General features: G+C 39.1%; 2 long non-coding RNA genes across 3 annotated transcripts in view, besides 1 other annotated feature; one reads left to right on the plus strand and one right to left on the minus strand.

The window, feature by feature from the left end:
- LOC101928438 (uncharacterized) overlaps positions 1-20334 on the minus strand; it is a 234104-nt gene that overhangs the window by 67299 nt on the left and 146471 nt on the right. The gene's annotated exons all lie outside the window — the stretch shown is intronic.
- The window catches only part of LOC124902234 (uncharacterized), an 85285-nt gene continuing 77462 nt past the window's right edge, over positions 12512-20334 (plus strand). Inside the window, exons 1-3 of one of the 2 annotated variants that reach the window (XR_007061698.1) lie at positions 12512-12547; positions 13767-13883; positions 17060-17089. This is a non-coding gene — a long non-coding RNA (uncharacterized LOC124902234). Of the gene's footprint in view, positions 12548-13766; positions 13884-17059; positions 17090-20334 lie in introns of those variants that run through there. The other variant, XR_007061699.1, reaches the window with a different exon arrangement.
- Positions 16427-17006: an enhancer, noted in NCBI's record as "OCT4-NANOG-H3K27ac hESC enhancer chr9:102431793-102432372 (GRCh37/hg19 assembly coordinates)". NCBI's record gives its function as "activates a minimal SCP1, AML or CMV promoter by ChIP-STARR-seq in naive and primed H9 embryonic stem cells {active_cell/tissue: H9 hESC(naive and primed)}" and the evidence as "EXISTENCE:reporter gene assay evidence [ECO:0000049][PMID:30033119]".

Raw genomic sequence — 20334 nt, forward strand, 5'->3', positions numbered from 1 at the left:
AATATACCAGAATCTCTGGGACACAGCCAAGGTAGTGGTAAGAGGGAAATTTATAGCACTAAATGCTCACACCGAAAAGTTAGAAAGATGTCAAATCAACAACCTAACATCACAACTAAAAGAACTAGAGAAGCAAGAGCAAACCAACCCCAAAGCTAATAGAAGACAAGAAATAACCAAAATCAGAGCTGAAGTGAAAGAGATTGAGACACAAAAAATCATTCAGAAGGTCAATGAATCCAGGAGCTGGTTTTTTGAAAAAATAATAAGATAGGTAGACCACTCCCTAGAATATATTAGAGAAGAGAGAAGATACAAATAATAAACACAATTAGAAATGACAAAGGGAATATTACCAGTGACCCCACAGAAATACAAATAACCATCAGAGACGCCTATGAACACCTCTATGCACACAAACTACAAAACATAGAAGAGATGGATAAATTCCTAGACACATACACCCTCCCAAGATTGAACCAGAAATAAATTGAATCCCTGAACAGACCAATAATGAGCTCCAAAATTGAACTGCCAAGGCAATCTTAAGCAAAAAGAACAAAGCGGAAGGCATCATGTTATCTGACTTCAAACTATACTCCAGGGCTATAGTAACCAACGCAGTGTGGTACTGGTACAAAAACAGACACATAGACCAATGGAACAGAATAGAGAGCCCAGAAATAAGGTCATACACCTACAGTCTCTGATCCTCAACAAAGCTGACAAAAACAAGCAATAAGGAAAGAACTACCCATTCAATATATGGTGCTGGGATAACTGGCTAGACATATGCAGAAGACTAAAATCGGATCCCTTCCATAAACCATGTACAAAAATCAACTCAAAATAGATTAAAGACTTAAATGTAAAACTGAAAACTATAAAAACCCTGGAAGACAACCTAGGCAGTACCATTCTGGACACAGGAATGGGCAAAGATTTAATGACAAAAATGCTAAAAGCAATCATAAGAAAAGCAAAAATTGACAAATGGGATATAATTAAACTTAAGAGCTTCTGCACCGCAAAAGAAACTATCAACTGAGTAAACAGACAACCTACTGAATGGGAGAAAATATTTGCAAACTATGCACCTGACAGAGATCTAATATCCAGCATCTATAAGGATCTTAAGCAAATTTGCAAGAAAAAAACAACCCCATTAAAAAGTGGGCAAAGTACATGAACAGACACTTTTCAAAAGGAGACACAAATGTGGCCAACAAGCATGTGAAAAAATGCTAAAAATCAAAACCACAATGAGATACCATCTCACACCAGTCAGAATGACTATTACTAAAAAGTCAAAGAATAACAGATGCTGTTGAGGTTGTGGAGAAAAGGGCACTCTTATACATTGTTGGTAGAAGTGAAAATTAGTTCAACCATTGTTGAAAGCACTATGGTGATTTCTCAAACAGCTAAAAACAGAACTACCATTCAACCCAGCAACCCCATTACTGAGTATACACCCCAAAAAATTATAAATCATCCTACCATAAATACATATGCACATGTATGTTCATGACAGCACTATTCACAATAGCCGAGACATAGAATCCACCTAAAGGCCCATCGATTGTAGACTGGATAAAGAAAATGTGGTATATATACACCATGGAATACTACAGCTGTAAAAAAGAACAAAAACATGTCCCTTGCAGGAACATGGATAGAGCCGGAGGCCATTATCCTTAGCAAACTACTGCAGGAACAGAAAACCAAATACCACATATTCTCATTTATAAGTGGGAGCTAAATTATGAGAACACATGAATACAAAGATGGGAACAACAGACTCTGGGGCCTACTAGAGGGTGCAGGGCAGAAGGGAAAAGAGCAGAAAAAATATCTATTGGGTACTAGGCATTGTACCTGGGTGATTAAATAATCTGTACATCAAACCCCTGTGAAATGAGTGTACCTATGTTACAAACTTGTACATGTAACTCTGCACACAGGTTCAAACCTGCACATAGTTCACTAAAATAAATTTTAATAAATAAATAAAATGAATTATCCTTTTACCCCATTAATTATAATTATTATCTAGACTCTAATTGATTTTGACTTTGTTTCTGTTAACTATTCACATTTGAACTAACATTCTTATCCTAAATGACTCATAGGTTTAATTTTATACTTATGAAGGTCCTCCTAATTATTTACAAGAAAAAATACTGTAACTCAATAATTCTATATGCAGCAAAACTATCTTTCAAAAATGAAGGAGACATTAAGACATTCCCAGATAAACAAAAACAAAGAACTTGTCACTAGCAGAATTACCCTACAAGAAATACTAAAGGGATTCAGTCCTTCAGACTAAAATAATAGGACACTAGACTGTACCCACAAGAAGAAATAAGAGCACAGGTAAATATAAAAGATAGTATAAATGCATTTCATTTGTAACTCTTTTCTTCTAATTTAAAAGAAACTCACATAAAGTAGTAATTTTAAAACTGTTCATTGGCTTATAGGGTATAAAGATGTAATTTGTATGATAATAATAGGGCAAAGGAGGGAGGAGAGAAAAAAGCTATATAACAGAAAATTATTGTATGCAATTGAAATTAAATTGATATTAATCTAAAGTAGATTGTTATAAATTAAAATGTCCTTCTCCATGTTTATTGCAGTGCTATTCACAATAACCAAGATATAGAACAAAATTAAATGTCCATCAATGAATAAACAGATAAGGAAAATGTGGTATATATACACAATGGAACATTATTCAGTCATAAAAATAATAAAATCATGTCATTTGTGCAACATGGATGGAATTGGAGGCCATTATGTTAGTGAAATAAGCCAGGCACAGAAAGACAAATATTGCATGTTCACACTAATATGTGGAAGCTAAAAAAGTTGATCTCATAGAGATAGAGAGTAGAATTATAGTTACCAGAGGCTGAGAAGGGTAGAGGTGGGGGATGAAGAGAGGTTGGTTAATGGGTGCAAACATACACTTAGATAGACAAAATAATACAGTTATATCTGTATAGCAGAGTGACTACAGTTAACAACAATTTATTACATATTTCAAAATAGCTAGAAGGGGAAATTTTAAATGTTCTTAACAAAAAGAAATGATAAATGTTGAGGTGATGGATATCCTAAATACCTTGATTTGATCATTATATATTGTATGCATGTATCAAAATACCACTGTGCCCCATAAATATATATGATTATCATGCATTAATCAAAATTTTTTAAATAAAAAAAGTTAATTATAATCCTCAGACAACAACTAAGAAAATAACTCAAAAAGTATATAGCAAAAGAAATGACAAGTGAATTAAAATAGTACACTAAAAAATACTTAACACAAAAGAAGGAAGTAATAGAACAACAGAGAAACAAAAAAGACAAGTTATATGGAAAACAAATAACAAAATACCAGATGTAACTCCTACCTTATGAGCAATTACATTTATAGTAAATGGATTAAATAGTCCAATCAAAAGGCAGAGATTGATAAAATGGTTTAACAAAATAAGCCAACTACATGCTTTCCATCAGAAATACAGAATAGATTCAAAGACACAGATAGATTAAAAGGAAAAGGATAGAAAATGATATGCCATACAAACAGTAACCAAAATGGAGCTGAAGTGACTATTCTAATCCCAGAAAAAAAGGCTTTAAGTACAAAATAATTAATAGAGACAAGGTAAAACGTTTTTAAATGAGAAAAGGGTCAATTCATCAGGTAGACATAGTAACTATAAACAGAGATGTACCTAACAACAAAATACATGAAGCAATAACTGACAAAATTGAAGGAAGAAATAGATGATTCAACATTATTAGTTGGAGAATTAAGTATTTCACTTTCAATAATGGATACAACACCTAGACATAAGAACAAAAAGGAAAGAGAGTATGATGGTAAATTTTATGTTATGTGTATTTTGCCAAAATTTTTTAAATTGGAGAAAAAAGCGTTGAACAATACTATTAAACAACTAGACCTAACAGATATCAACAGACTACTCCACCCAACAATAGCAGAATACACATTCTTCTCAAGTCCATATGGAATATTCTCCAGGACAGGCCATATTTAAGGCCACAAAAAAAGTCTCAATAAACTTAAAATTATTGAAATAATATGAAGTATGTTCTCTTTCCACGACAGAATGAAATAGATAAACTATTAGAATTAAAAATAGTACTCAGCAAGGCTGTCAGAAACAAGACCATCCTATGAAAATCAATAGCATTCCAGCACCACATAGAAACTGTATTTTAAAATAATACATAGTTAGCAACAAACAAAAATCTAAAAGGCCTTCTTACACCCAATTACCTCTGATCGGTGCCCCGCAGGCCCCATGGACTACAAGGTCCTCATGGGTCTTGACCATCTCCTCAATGCTGACCTCCTTCTTCATCCCAACCCCAAAGGTTCTACCAACTGTAGCTGCCTTCTCAGTCACAACTACTTTCTTGACCCAAACTTGAAACCCCAAATTTCTGTTTATCTGACAGGAAAGGAAGAGAAGGGAAAGGAAAGGAAGGGAAGATGGAAATTTCTTTGTTGATGTAGTATGGAGATAAGAGCTCTTAAAAAAAGAGAGAGAAACTGATTAATGCATTGCTGAATTTATACCTTTATTATGTTTTCTTACAAAAGTTATTTTAAAAAGAGTAGGATAAATTATAAGGAAAATGTATAAGACTTGAAGGACTCCTGGTACCAACTTCTGCAATAGTTGAGACTCTTTTGTCAGAAGCTCAGAAAGCGACTTCTAGCACTTAGGCATGCAAGAAAAAGTAATTAATTGGTTAAGCATCATAGATTCAATGAACCAAGTAACACACAGGCCACCAGGGAGAATTAGAACCAAACAGTTCCAAACATCGCATTGGCAGGGCATTGCAAATGGGCTGACTGAGCTCCAACGGCATTCCATACTTGGAAGACTTCTCTCAAGATTCAGAATTCCAAAGAGAGTCTGATTGGCCTATGTTGATTTCTGTGCTCATCCCTTGACCAGAAAAGCAGAGAAACAATGTTTTTGAGCTTCACTATTTAATAGATATGGGGCAACTTCTCAAAGGAAAAGGGATAACTTTACTAGAAGGGGAAAGATGTACTGGGTAGACAGAAGCAACAAATATACCTATCACATTTTCTATAACAGTAATTATGCTCACTCAAGGCAGAAGCCAACCCTCCTAGTGGTGAATTGCACATACCATCTATGAAAAGATCACAACCCAGAAGGCATAGGCAACTGCCACGGATCTAATGAATAGGTGATCAGAAGACCTCCCAATACTCTTGAAAGTACTGAGAACTGATTCCCTATTCTCTCACCTATGACCAGCCGGAGAGAACCATATTTTCTGGTCTTCCAGATGAATCCTATTCAAAATATTATTCACTGTGAGGCTATAATTATTAGTCCTTAACTTACTACTTAACAGTAGCCCTCTTCTAAGCTGTTATCTCTCTGCCTGTTGTTTGGCTTAGGAAATTCCTGCAGGACCTGCCTTGACTTTGAACCTTTTTTATCTCACCTTATTTGTCTTATTCCCACTACATTAGTTAAAACAAAATTCCCCTTTCCTGTCCAGACACATCAGACAGATACCACCAATAAGACCCTCCCTGCTTACTGGCAAGAGCATATCAAAAACACCTAGACAGTTTTCCTAAAAGGAGACCATTAAAAAATAAATTCAGAACCTAAACCAAACTTCTAGGTGTAATTCATTTGACCTAGACTTCTTCAGTGAACATGCCAAGATCTTGTATGTAATGAAGCAGTACTGGTACATTAAAAGCCACTCATGCCACTCTACTGTTTAAAGTCCTTTGCCAGAAATAGAGCAAAACTCAGACTCTTTAGACTGGCATCAAGGTTCTTCACACTTGGGCTCTAAACTCTCTCTCCAGCCTAGTCAACCTACATTTCATGCATACTCCAGCCACACTACACTATTTGTTACTGCCCAATATTGCACATGCATTTCACACCTCTGTATCTTCCTATCTCTTGTTCCTTTGGCTTAGCCTGTCCTTCGTATACTACTTCCACCTGGAAATAATCTTCCCATCATTTAAGATCTACTTTGTGTTATCTTTTCTTCATCAGTCTTTCCCAGCAGGTTGCTTCCTCCTTCTTCCTTGCCAACCATGTTAATTTGTACATTCTTCTTGTTATTGCACTTGTACTGTTTACAGACCTGCCTTTGTCATCAGATTAGGAATCCCTTGAGGTCAAATAATGAATTAAATTCACCCTTGAACCTCCAGCATCAAGTACAGTGGTTGGTGCATAGTAAGCACTCACTATATATTTGAACAGCGAAGAACTTAATAAATCCAACTTGAGATAAGTTACCACCCATCAAGTTTTGTGGGATTCTAAATACCCTAATAAACCATGAAGGCACTCAACATTCTCAGAAATGAAAATGAATGAAAAAAAAAGAATTTTTCAGTCTTTTGTTTGACAAAATGTTGCTTATATAGACATTATATCTAAACAATAAGCTCCATACCCTAGCCACGCTCAGAGATATCTGCGCAACCTGACACCTCTCCTATAATTCTTCTTTCTACTCACAAAGAAAAAAACAGAATGTTTGAAGCCATTTCTCTATTCTCAGAAAATATACCCCATGTATGTCTTCTCTAATTCCTATATATTACAAGGTCAATTAATTATAGATCCACAGAGCTGGAATTATCAGAGACCTTTTGTACTCATCATTTTATAGACAGAATAACTGGGCCTAAAGAGGTGAAATCACTTCCCCAAGGCCATAAAGCAAATCAGCAGCAGCACTAACCTAAGTCTGTTGCTTCCTAATCATCTTACCAAATATTCCCACAGAGATAAAAATTAATTCTCCCACCCACACATAAGCCTTGCAACCACCGGTTCACTTACAAATTATTCCAGGATAATTGTTAATAATTATTACTAAACATGAACAGATTTGGATACTAAATTGTAACAGATAAACCTGCACACACAAGTACTGCTACTAGTACAAAACTCCATGACACAGTTGACCAGTGTCCAACTTAATCGATAGGATCCTTTGGTTTGTTTGTGTCGTATGTGTGTGCACATGTGTGTATGTAATTTTCCCCCCAATTTCTATTAGCACTGTACAAAAAAAGGAAGTTGAAAGTGAGAAGTCTTCTATTGTTGCACAGACATGTGACTCTTGTCTAAATGGCATTAAAATTGTTCAGACATTGAAATGAAAGCAAATGTGCCTGTACCCATCACATTACGTAGGAAAACCAATGTAGGCTGAGTTGCATGTCACCAAATGCCCCACATGTGACAAACAGAGAAAGTGACATAATCCAAGTATTCAGCAAAAGCAGCCCACAGTAACAAATGCATCATTTCTGAAGAGGAAGAGAGAGCAGATGGCTCAGCAAGCAACTGTGGAACAGCCAGCTTCCCCCTCCGCACCTCCAAAACCAAATTGCCTCCCAGTATCTCATCCTAGGCACTGCAGAAACTCAGAGGCAAAACGCTTAAGCACCACAGTAGCAGCGGCCAGGGCAGGAGTCTCAGGTCATGGTGCCCTGAGCTTGGACCCAGATGACCTGAGTTCACAGCAAGATTCTGCTTCTCGCTTTCTATGTTACCTTAAACAAGTTACTTAATTTCTTTAAATTTTATTTCCTCATCTATGTTATATAGGATCAGTAAGACTCCATAATATTCTAGGACATATTGACACGAAAGTGCTTCATGAACTACAAAGTACTCAACAAATGTTAAACTTCATTAATTAAAATGTACCGATTGGTTAGAACTAATACAAGCCAATCTGAAACCTAATAACATATATCATACACAGTGTATGGAGAGCCCTAGCCCTAGTTGATCACGGCTTCACAGATGCTTTTTAAGAGTGGTCAGCGAATTGTGGTTCTCTCTGCTAAAAAGTCACCATGACTATCCTTCTATCTTAAGGGTGGGATAAATCTATTCCATTCATTCCTCATTCAACAGTGGATGCTCAACATGTATTGAACATCCACTGTAAGCCATGCACTAGCTAAGTGACAAAAGATATAGTAGCTGAGGCGTTTTGGATGCTAATTTCTCTTAAAGATAATTATCTCTTTTTCTTTTATTGTTATTGCTTAAAGGGCAAACACCATGGAAAACAAAATAAATATTTAACTACATCAAGAAAGACTAGAGTCAGATATTTCTGGATTATTTGTTGCATCAGCCTAAGAAATAATAATGGCTTATATTGCTAGTACTTAAAAAAAAAAGCTACCATAGGTGTTAACTGACTTAATTATCATACTAGCTGTATGAAAAAGGAATGATTTCCCACTCTTATGAAGCCTAAATGCAAATCTGAGTCTAAAACACTCTCCACTATACCATATTGTCTCTCACTTTAACACCAAGGGTTATCAAGGTGGGAAAAGAAAAGTATCTTCTGGCAAGATAAATCATAATTGTTTTCAATACTCTAGTGTACATTGTTGAGGCAGAGAGATTCCAGGACTTCACTTCCCTCAAACAGCTAAAACAGCTGTTTAGATAAAAACAGCTAAAACAAGCATTAGAAAAACCATAAAAGTGGGACTGAGTAATTTCAATAATCCCTTTTGCTACTGTTTTAATCCCACACAATACATGTATTTTATTTGTTTATTCACTGACATTCTGCTAACTGCAGGAGAAACTCCCAAAAGCTAAGACTAGACTAAAATAGTAGAACACTACTAATTGGCGGATCAATAAACTACTCCATTCTGTTTGCATAAATAGACATTTTGATGGTAATCCTTTGCTTTGATGGCAACCAAAATAGATTAACTGGATCTTTAATAGATGTATATAATAAAAGCCACAGACAATATGCCCTGAAGATCGTCAATCTCATATCCTGGCAGATGGTAGAAATGGAGGAAGGGGAAAAGGAAGGGAAAGAACATTCCTGGAGCAGCTGTTGCATGTGGGTACCACACTGGGCACTTTAAATATTTTAACTCTTTGCAGTTTCATCCTAACCCTACATACAATTTTACAGATGAGGAAACAGAGGCTCAGAGAAGTTAAGACCAGTCCCATCTCTTCACTTGGCCCTACATTATCTTTCAAAATACTCTGATGTGGAAAGGCCAGAGCACACGTGTGTTACAGAGGACCACCTTGGCTCCTGATGCTCCTTAAAGAGGCCACGACTTGTGTGTCATGATTCAGGGATTGGACTTGCTGCCAAGGTCACAGATGGTACACTTGAGATCCCCTAGCCTATGTACAGAGTAGTCCCCAAGAGAGGGAAGGGTAAAGATGAAGCCTTAGAAACACAAAATTAGGACATATACAGGGAGAAAGAGAAATACGAGATGTGAAAGAACAACAAAAGTGCAAATCCATGGCAGTCAAGGATGTGTTAAGAAATAGTAGGTGGTTAAAAGCTATGACGGTCAGTAGAATAACAGCTAAGAACTGACCTCAAGCTTTAGGATAAAGTCTCTATTATCCTGCAAGACCAGAATATCGGTAAAATTGGTGGAATTAACTATTTTTTTTAATGATTATAAAACAGGACAATGCATTTTATGATGGAAAATGGGTAAGCACATAAAAATACCCTTGAACAATGTGGGAGTTAGGGGTGCTGACATCCCCATACAGTCAAAAAGCCACATATAACTTTGGCCTCCCCCAAAATTTAGCTGGGTTAACTATGTTGACCAGAGCCTTACTGATAACATAAACAGTTAATTAACATATATTTTTCATTTTGTGTGTATTATATACTGAATTCTTATAATTAAGTTAGAGAGAACACATTATGAAGAAAATCATAAGGAAAACAATATACGTACTATTCATTAAGTGGAAGTGGATCTTCATAAAGGTCTTCATCCTCATCATCTTCTTGTTAAGTAGGTTGAAAAGGAGGAGGAAGAAGAGGGGTCAGTCTTGCTGTTTCATGGGTGGCAGAAGTGGAAAAAAAATCCACATGTAAGTGGACCCATGCAGTTCAGACCTGTGTTCTTCAAGAGTTAACTGTTTAAAGGTGGGGGGAGGTAAAATCACCATAATTCCACCCTGACATGATTGACTTTTTTAAAAATTGTTAACATTTCAGCATATTTTCTCCTAATGTTCTTCTGGGTACTTTTTACACAGTTAAAATCATACTGACCGTGTAATTTTGTATGCTATTTTTTAGTTTAACACTGTCTAGAACATTTGCCCAAGTCTTTAAAAACTCCTATCACTAATCTTGAATGCCACTGAACCACAGACATTGAGGGTAAGCTCAATGCTTTATTCTTTTTGTATATTTCCACAGAAATCAGCACAGTCATTTTCAGAACAGAGATATTCAAAAAAAATTATTGAATGGAATTGCAGCACCAGTGCACTCTCATCTTCCCTTAATTTACCAGTCATCTGATGCCCCTTGTCTATGGTTCATTTTATGGTACATTGTGTCGGCTCTCAGGATGTTTTATATAATCTGTTTCAGGCTCTCCCTAACTGGACAGTGTGTGTCATGAGAGAAAGAAATTCATACCTTGAATTCCTCTTCTATCTTTTGCTTTCTATCTTCACCAACAGTGCCTACCATAATGTCCCTTCCACAGAAGATAATTTAATCTCATTACATTAAAGTTACATCTATAAAAATTCAAAGAAGCAGCATATGTTTTATTTATACTGGTGATGCTTCTAGCACCAATAAAGCCTTTATATGTTTTCCTTAAGCATAGTCCCTAGATTCATATCCTCTGTTTTCTTTCTTTCTCTTCCCTTTACAGTAGACTGAAACTGTATATACATACATATAAATCAGAAACTACAACCTTCATGATCTTTTTTTGGAAGACAACTTTGTTGAAGAGAGATTACAGAGGGGCAAGAATGGAAACAGGAAGACCAATTAGGAGGCTATTGCAAAAATCCAGAATCTATTACTTCCAAGAGCAGAACTTCATGTGTAGAAGTCATATGCAGACATATGGAGTGGGCTGCCTCAGGAGGCAGTGAGCTTTCTGCCACTAGAGGTGCACAAATAGAGAACCACTTGGCAAGGACATGGACAAGGTTGGCCTTATAACCTAAAAGTCACTTCCAACACTGAGACTCCATGATCGTTGCCTAGAGTATCTCATGCCCTCAACAGCCTAATAACCCCACAAACATATTCACTCTTTATTTTGATTATACAAGCACAGTATAATCACCATAGAAAATCAGAAGGTAGAGATATTAGATAAGCAAAAAGAAAAGAAATAAAAATACAGTCCCAACAGCCAGATATAGTCATGATTAGGACCTAAGCATGTGTGTACATGTGTGTGTGTGTGTGTGTGTGTGTGTCCCCTTCTATTACATTAACTTGTCAGATGTATCATTAGACACATGATAGAAAGCATGGGTCTTTTCCTAACTAAACAAAATCTCCATCTTTACGGTATTTTATAATCTTCTTTTAAAATTCAATATATAATGAATATATTCCCCTGTCAATTTATATTTCTTGCTAGAGTCAGAAACTTCCTATAACAGCCTGAAGTATTGAGTTATGTAAATAAAATAGAAACTGGCAGGATACTTACAGTCTTAGGAGATTTAGATAATGAGATAATATCATTACTCCATGAATGCCTCCCACTAATTCTAAGTGGGATATTTGAACTGTCTCCCATTATAATATTTCACAGTCCTCTCCCAGTTTCAGCACTCTTCCCTCCATCATCATAACAAGCTATATCCCATGTCAAGTGACAGGAACATAATCAAAAGAGAGTGAAGAAACATCTGTTATCCTAACTGAGCCTCAGAGGTCTCATCTTACCCTTCCCTTGTAATGTCTGGGCATCTAATGATATTATAACCATCATTCATTCCATAAGAGCTTAGAAGTTTCCAAGTGTCTCAGGTTTATTCATCATCTTAGCACCAAGGGGAACATCTCAGTAGTTCCTTAGATGTAATATCTGTAGATTCATTTAAAAACAAATATTTATTGAGTATCTACCATGTGCCAGGCACCGTACTCAACAACTGGGATAAAGCAGTAAGCAAAAGATGAAAAATATCTGTCTTCATGAAGCTTTAATTCTTGTTGTAGGAAACAGACAATAAAAACTAAGTTGGTTGTATGGTGATAGATGCTGTGGCAGGAATGAAAGTAATAAAGGAGGATAAGTGAAGACATGAAGGAGGAAAGGGGATTGTAATTTTAAATAGCATGGTCAGGAAAGTCCTAAATAAAAAGGATGGCTTTAGAGCAAAGACCTGAAGTAGGGAAGGAGGGAGTCTCACGTGTATTAAGGGAAGAGCATTCCAGGCAGTAGCCCCGAGGCAGGAAAGTACTTGGGCATGTTCCGGACACAGTATGGAGTGACATGCTGATCCAGTATGGAGGCCAATGTGGGTGGAACAGAGTGAAGAAAAAAGTAATAGAAGATGAGGTCATAAAGGTAGCTGGAAGCAAGATCACATAGGACCTTGCATATCATTGAATGTCTTAAATTTTTATCTGAGGGAGGTGGAAACTATTGGTGAGTACTGAGCATGAGAGTGACATCATATGACTTGGGTTTTTGAAGGACCCCTTTGTTGAGAGTAGATTACAGAGGGCAAAAGTAGAAGCATGAAGACCAACTAGGAGGCTGGAAAAATCCAGGAAATGATGGCTTGGAGCCATGTAGGGGGTAAGAGGCAGCCAGATCCTATATAGATTTTGAAAAAGCAGCCTCAGGATATGGTGAGAGTTTTGATACGTGTTGTAAGAAAGAGAAGAGTTAAGGATGTCACCAAAATTTTTGGCCCTGGAAACTGAAAGAACAGAGTTATCATGTGCTGAAAGGGGAGCACTGTAAAAAGAGTAGGTTTGTAGTGGAGGAAATTAGGAATTCAGCTTTGGACGTTAGAGTTGATTAGCCATCAAAGAGGAGCTGTTGAATAAATAGATGGATCTGTTTAGTCTGCACCTTGGGGAGTTTAGGTTAGAAAGTTGAGAGCTATCAGCATATAGATCAGGGGAGTCCAATCTTTTAGCTTCCCTGGGCCACATTAGAAGAAGAAAAATTGTCTTGGGCCACATATAAAATACACTAACACTAATGTTAGCTAATTGAGCTCGCAAAAAAATCACCAAAAAAAATCCATAATGTTTAGGTTTTTTATTTTATTTTATTTTAGACGGAGTCTCGCTCTGTCGCCCAGGCTGGAGTTTGTCATCTTGGCTCACCACAACCTCCGCCTCCCAGGTTCAAGCAATTCTCCTGCCTCAGCCTCCTTAGTAGCTGGGACTACAGGCGCATGCCACCACACCCAGCTAACTTTTGTATTTTTAATGGAGACGGGGTTTCGCCATGTTGCCTAGGATGGTCTTGATCTCTTGACCTCGTGATCCACCTGCCTCAGCCTCCAAAAGTGCTGAGATTACAGGCATGAGCCCCTGTGCCCGGCCAAAAATCTCATAATGTTTTAAGAAAGTCTGTGAATTTGTGTTGGGCCACATTCAAAGATGTCCTGGGCCACATGCAGCCCATGGGCTATGGGTTGGACAAGCTTGATATAGGTGGTATTGACAGCTGTAGACTAGAAGAGATAACTCAGATAGTAAGTGCAGATTAAAAAAAAACAAACAGGTCCAAGAACTGAACTTGGAAGCCTGCCAATATTTAGAGGTCAGAGCCCATGTGGTAAAAACAGAAAGCATGAAAAAACATCAAACAGATACTAACAGGCATAAAATCTTTATGCAAACTTCAGGAAAGGTGGAAGTCAAAAGTTCTAAGAAAAAGGAAAGTAAACATCAGCATTTTGGTGATCTTGAGATGTGCAAGATGATACAAGACCATAGCAGTGTCTGATTCTGGAGAATGAAAGGTAAGAAATATTAACCAGAGCAGATTTTATCCTTGCCATGTAATGGTGACTTCAGAACACCACCATTAATTCCAGCAAAAGCCACTTCCAACAATATTCAACTATAATTTAGATTTAATAATCACATTATATCCCATTATATGAGTATTAAATAATTTATTTAAATAACTTCCTATTTCTAGACATTTACGTTTCTAAATCTCTTGGCTATTTTAAATATTTTTAATGAACATTCTTCCAACCACTTCTTTGCAGATATTATTATTATTTCTTTGAAATATATTTTCTTAAGTATAATTACTAGATTAAAGGTGGTACACTTTTTAAAAAGACTTCTAATATGTATTTCTGGATTGGCCTTCATAAGCTAGTACCAATTTACATTCCTACTAATGGGGTATAAGTGTCTTTCCAAACACTCTCCAATGCTAGATTATTTTCTTCATTTGTAATTGTTAGAAAATCACATCTCTTTCTTTCTCTTTGAATCTCTTAATTATAGAATTAGATTTTATTTTTCATACGATTATTGGTCTTTATATTTCTTCTTTTATAACTTGCCCATTTTGATTTATGAATTTTTTTATAAATTAATGATTTTATCATTTTGACTATCATATATGTTGCAAATATTTTTTTCCCATTTTACCTTTTGCCTTTTTATTTTGTTAACATCACTTTGGGTAGGATAGAGATTGCTAATTTTTATTTGGTTGAGCGTAGCCAATTTTTCCTTTATGATTTCTATTTTTATTTTTGGCATCATGGTTAGGAAGGCTTTCTCACATCCAGCATTGTATAAATATTCACCCAAATTTTCTGCCATACCATTATGATGGCACTGTTTTTCATTTTAATCATTACCTCTCAGAAATTTATTTATTTTATTTTTTTTTTTTGAGACGGAGTCTCACTCTGTTGCCCAGGCTGGAGTGCAGTGGCGCAATCTCGGCTCACTGCAAGCTCCGCCTCCCGGGTTCCTGCCATTCTCTTGCCTCAGCCTTCTGAGTAGCTGGGACTACAGGTGCCCACAACCACACCCGGCTAATTTTTTGTATTTTTTTTTAGTAGAGACGGGATTTCACCGGGTTAGCCAGGATGGTCTCGATCTCCTGACCTCGTGATCCGCCCACCTCGGCCTCCCAAAGTGCTGGGATTACAGGCTTGAGCCACCACGCCCAACCAGAAATTTATTTTAGGTGGGGTAGAAGTTCATTAGACTTGTAAAAGTATCGATCTCCTGACCTCATGATCCGCCCACCTCGGCCTCCCAAAGTGCTGGGATTACAGGCTTAAGCCACCGTGCACAGCCAGAAATTTATTTTAGGTGGGGTAGAAGTTCATTAGACTTGTAAAAGTATCTGAAACATGTCTCAATCAATTTAAAGGTTTATTTTGCCAAGGTTAAGGGCCATGGCCTGTTACAAAGCTTCAGGAGGTCTTGAGAACATGTGGCCAAGTTGCTTGAGTTATAGTTTGGTTTTATACATTTTAGCAAGACAGAAGTTACAGGCAAAGACATAAATCAATATATGTAAGGTATACATGGGTTTGGCTCAGAAAGGCAGGACATCTCAAAGTGGGGGAGGGGAACTGGAGGGGGTGGTGCAGGGGTTCCAGCTCATAGGTGAATTCAGAGATTTCCTGATTGGCAATTCATTGAAAGAGTTAAGCCCTGCCTGAAGAGTTGAATTCAGCATAAAGACATGAGTTTAGATAAGAGGGTTGTGGAAGCCCAGGCGCTTGTTATATAGACGAAGACTCCAGGTAGCAGGCTTCAGAGAGTATAAATGGTGAATGTCTCTTATCAGAACTTAAAAGGTGTCAGACTCTCCAGAAAAAATACTTAGTAAGGAAAGGAGATTTTCTACAGAATGCAAATTTCTCCCACAGGAGACAGCTTTACAGGGCCGTTTCAGAATATGTCAAATAAACATATTTAAGGGTAAAATACTTTGATTTCCTTCAGGGCCTGTTATCTTTCATATGATGCTATACCAGAGTAAGGTTGGAATTTGGTATCTTATTGCAACTAAGAGTCTGTTTTGTCAGTCTTAACATCTCTGCTTTAATGTTAACACTGTCTAGTTATGTCTAAACTCCAAAGGATGGAAAGTATAATGAGGCATGTCTGACCCTTACTTCCTGTCATGGCCTGAACTAGCTTTTCAGGTTTCTTTGGGGTCCCCTTGGCCAAGAGGTGGATCTATTCAATTGATTGGGGTGCCTAGAACTTTACTTTTGGTTTACAGATTGATGCAAGAACCAGAAAATAGCCACAATTTATTAATATACTCAGGGCATTCCACTCCCAATAAGAAGGATGAATGACTTGCTCTCTGGATGGGGAATATTTATATCTAAATTCTGATTGTTTGGTTCTGCCTTTTACCCAATTTGGCATCTTGGATACTACACTGCTGTCAGTGTTAAACATAAAATTTGGTTCCCCTTCCTTCTGGTGCAGATATTATATGCATCTGGTGGAAGATGGTCTTGTCAATAGACAATTTGGTCTCTTTCACCACCACAGTACCTTTCTGATTCCTATAAGCTCAAGGCTGTCAATGCTATTGACACCACAGACTCAACACAAACTTACTTAGCACTTACTACATAAAAATCTGAGTTATACAATTTAGCAGAAAAAATTAAGTAAGAGATATAATTAAGCAGAAAAAATCAAGTAAGAGACAATTCCATGAACACTGATCAAAAAATCTTCAATGAAATATAGCAAGCTGAATGCAGCAGTTAAAAAGATTACACACCATGACAAGTTGGGATTTATTCCTGGAATGTAAAGTTGTTTCTGTCAGGCCTCTGAGCCCAAGCCAAGCCATCGCATCCCCTGTGACTTGCACGTATATGCCCAGATGGCCTGAAGTAACTGAAGAATCACAAAAGAAGTGAATATGCCCTGCCCCACCTTAACTGATGACATTCCACCACAAAAGAAGTGTAAATGGCCGGTCCTTGCCTTAAGCGATGACATTACCTCGTGAAAGTCCTTTTCCTGGCTCATCCTGGCTCAAAAAGCACCCCCGCTGAGCACCTTGCGACCCCCACTCCTGCCCGCCAGAGAACAAACCCCCTGTGACTGTAATTTTCCTTTACCTACCCAAATCCTATAAAACGGCCCCACCCTTATCTCCCCTCGCTGACTCTCTTTTCAGACTCAGCCCGCCTGCACCCAGGTGAAATAAACAGCCATGTTGCTCACACAAAGCCTGTTTGGTGGTCTCTTCACACGGATGCACATGAAATTTGGTGCCGTGACTTGGATCGGGGGACCTCCCTTGGGAGATCAATCCCCTGTACTCCTGTTCTTTGCTCCGTGAGAAAGATCCACCTATGACCTCAGGTCCTCAGACCGACCAGCCCAAGGAACATCTCACCAATTTTAAATCAGGTAAGCGGCCTCTTCTTACTCTCTTCTCCAACCTCTCTCACTGTCCCTCAACCACTTTCTCCTTTCCACTCTTCAATCTCTCCCTTCTCTTAATTTCAATTCCTTTCATTTTCTGGTAGAGGCAAAGGAGACACGTTTTATCCATGGACCCAAAACTCCGGCGCTGGTCATGGACTGGGAAGGCAGCCTTCCCTTGGTGTTTAATCATTGCAGGGATGCCTCTCTGATTATACACCCACGTTTCAAGGGTGTCAGACCACGCAGGGACGCCTGCCTTGGTCCTTCACCCTTAGCAGCAAGTCCCGCTTTTCTGGGGAAGGGGCAAGTACCCCTCAACCCCTTCTCCTTCAAGCTTAGTGGCAAGTCCCGCTTTTCTGGGGCAGGGGCAAGTACCCCTCAACCCCTTCTCCTTCACCCTTAGCGGCAAGTCCCGCTTTTCTGGGAGAGGGGCAAGTACCCCCAACCCCTTCTCCTTCACCCTTAGTGGCAAGTCCCGCTTTTCTACGGGGCAAGAACCCCCAATCCCTTATTTCCATGTCCCAACTTCTTATCTCTGTGCCCCAATCCCTTATTTCCATGCCCCAACCTCTTATCTCTGTGCCCCAATCCCTTATTTCTGCACTCCAACCTCTTATCTCTGCACCCCAATCCCTTATTTCCGCACCCTGACCTCTTATCTCTGTGCCCCAATCCCTTATTTCTGCACTCCAACCTCTTATCTCTGCACCCCAATCCCTTATTTCCGCACCCTGACCTCTTATCTCTGTGCCCCAATCCCTTATTTCCACACCCCGACCTCTTATCTCTGTGTCCCAATCCCTTATTTCCATGCCCCGACCTCATATCTCTGCGCCCCAATCCCTTATTTCCGCGCCCCAACCTCTTATATATCTGCACCCCAATCCCTTATTTCCGCACCCCGACCTCTTATCTCTGTGACCCAACCCCTCTTCCCACTTTTCTGGAAGGTAAGAACCCCCGAACTCCTTCCCTTTGTTTCTCTACTCTCTCTTTTCTCTAGGATTGCTTCCTTCACTGTGGGCAACCTTCCACCCTCCATTCCTCCATCTACTCCCTTGGCCTGTGTTCTCAAAAACTTAAAACCTCTTCAACTCACACCTGACCTAAAACCTAAATGCCTTATTTTCTTCTGCAATGCCGCTTGACCCCAATACAAACTCGACAGTAGTTCCAAATAGCCAGAAAATGGCACTTTGAATTTTTCCATCCTGCAAAATCTAAATAATCTTGTCGTAAAATAGGCAAATGGTCTGAGGTGCCTGACATCCAGGCATTCTTTTACACATCAGTCCCTTCCTAGTCTCTGTGCCCAGTGCAACTCATCCCAAATCTTCCTTCTTTCCCTCCCACCTGTCCCCTCAGTACCAACCCCAAGCGTCACTGAGTCTTTCTAATCTTCCTTTCCTACAGACCCATCTGACCTCTCCCTTCCTCCCCAGGCTGCTCCTCGCCAGGCCGAGCTAGGTCCCAATTCTTCCTCAGCCTCTGCTCCTCCACCCTATAATCTTTTTATCACCTCCCCTCCTCACACCTGGTCCGGCTTACAGTTTCGTTCGGTGACTAGACCTCCCCCACCTGCCCAGCAATTTACTCTTAAAAAGGTGGCTGGAGCCAAAGGCATACTCAAGGTTAATGCTCCTTTTTCTTTATCCCAAATCAGAAGCGTTTAGGCTCTTTTTCATCAAATATAAAAACCCAGCCCAGTTCATGGCTCATTTGGCAGCAACCCTGAGACAATTTACAACCCTAGACCCTAAAAGGTCAAAAGGCCATCTTATTCTCAAAATACATTTTATTACCCAATCTGCTTCCGACATTAAACTCCAAAAATTGGAATCTGGCCCTCAAACCCCACAACAGGACTTAATTAACCTCACCTTCAAGGTGTACAATAACAGAAAAAAGTTGCAATTCCTTGCCTCCACTGTGAGACAAACCCCAGCCACATCTCCAGCACACAAGAACTTCCAAACGCCTGAACCGCAGCAGCCAGGAGTTCCTCCAGAACCTCCTCCCACAGGAGCTTGCTACACGTGCTGGAAATCTGGCCACTGGGCCAAGGAATGCCCGCAGCCCAGGATTCCTCCTAAGCCATGTCCCATCTATGTGGGACCCCACTGAAAATCGGCTGTTCAACTCACCTGGCAGCCACTCCCAGAGCCCCTGGAACTCTGGCCCAAGGCTCTCTGACTGACTCCTTCCCAGATCTTCTCGGCTTAGCGGCTGAAGACTGACACTGCCCGATCGCCTCGGAAGCCCCCTAAACCATCACGGATGCCGAGCTTTGGGTAACTCTCACAGTGGAAGGTAAGCCCGTCCCCTTCTTAATCAATACAGAGGCTACCCACTCCACATTAACTTCTTTTCAAGGGCCTGTTTCCCTTGCCTCCATAACTGTTGTGGGTATTGACGGCCAGGCTTCTAAACCTCTTAAAACTCCCCAACTCTAGTGCCAACTTAGACAATACTCCTTTAAGCACTCCTTTTTAGTTATCCCCACCTGCCCAGTTCCCTTATTAGGCCGAGACACTTTAACTAAATTATCTGCTTCCCTGACTATTCCTCGACTACAGCCACATCTCATTGCCGCCCTTCTCCCCAACCCAAAGCGTCCTTCACATCTTCCTCTCATATCCCCCCACCTTAACCCACAAGTATGGGACATCTCTATTCCTTCCCTGGCAACCGATCATATGCCCATTACCATCCCATTCAAACCTAATCACCCTTACCCCACTCAACACCAATATCCCATCGTGCAGCACTCTTTAAAAAGATTAAAGCCTGTTATCACTTGCCTGCTACAGCATAGGCTTCTAAAACCTATAACTCTCCTTACCATTCCCCTATTTTACCTGTCCTAAAACCAGACAAGGCTTACAAGTTAGTTCAGAATCTGCGCCTTATCAACCAAATTGTTTTGCCTATCCACCCCGTGGTGCCAAACCCATATACTCTCCTATCCTCAATACCTCCCTCTACTAACCATTATTCTGTTCTGGATCTCAAACATGCTTT

This window comes from Homo sapiens, chromosome 9 (assembly GCF_000001405.40).
Source record: "Homo sapiens chromosome 9, GRCh38.p14 Primary Assembly".
Taxonomy (NCBI): Eukaryota; Metazoa; Chordata; class Mammalia; order Primates; family Hominidae; genus Homo; species Homo sapiens.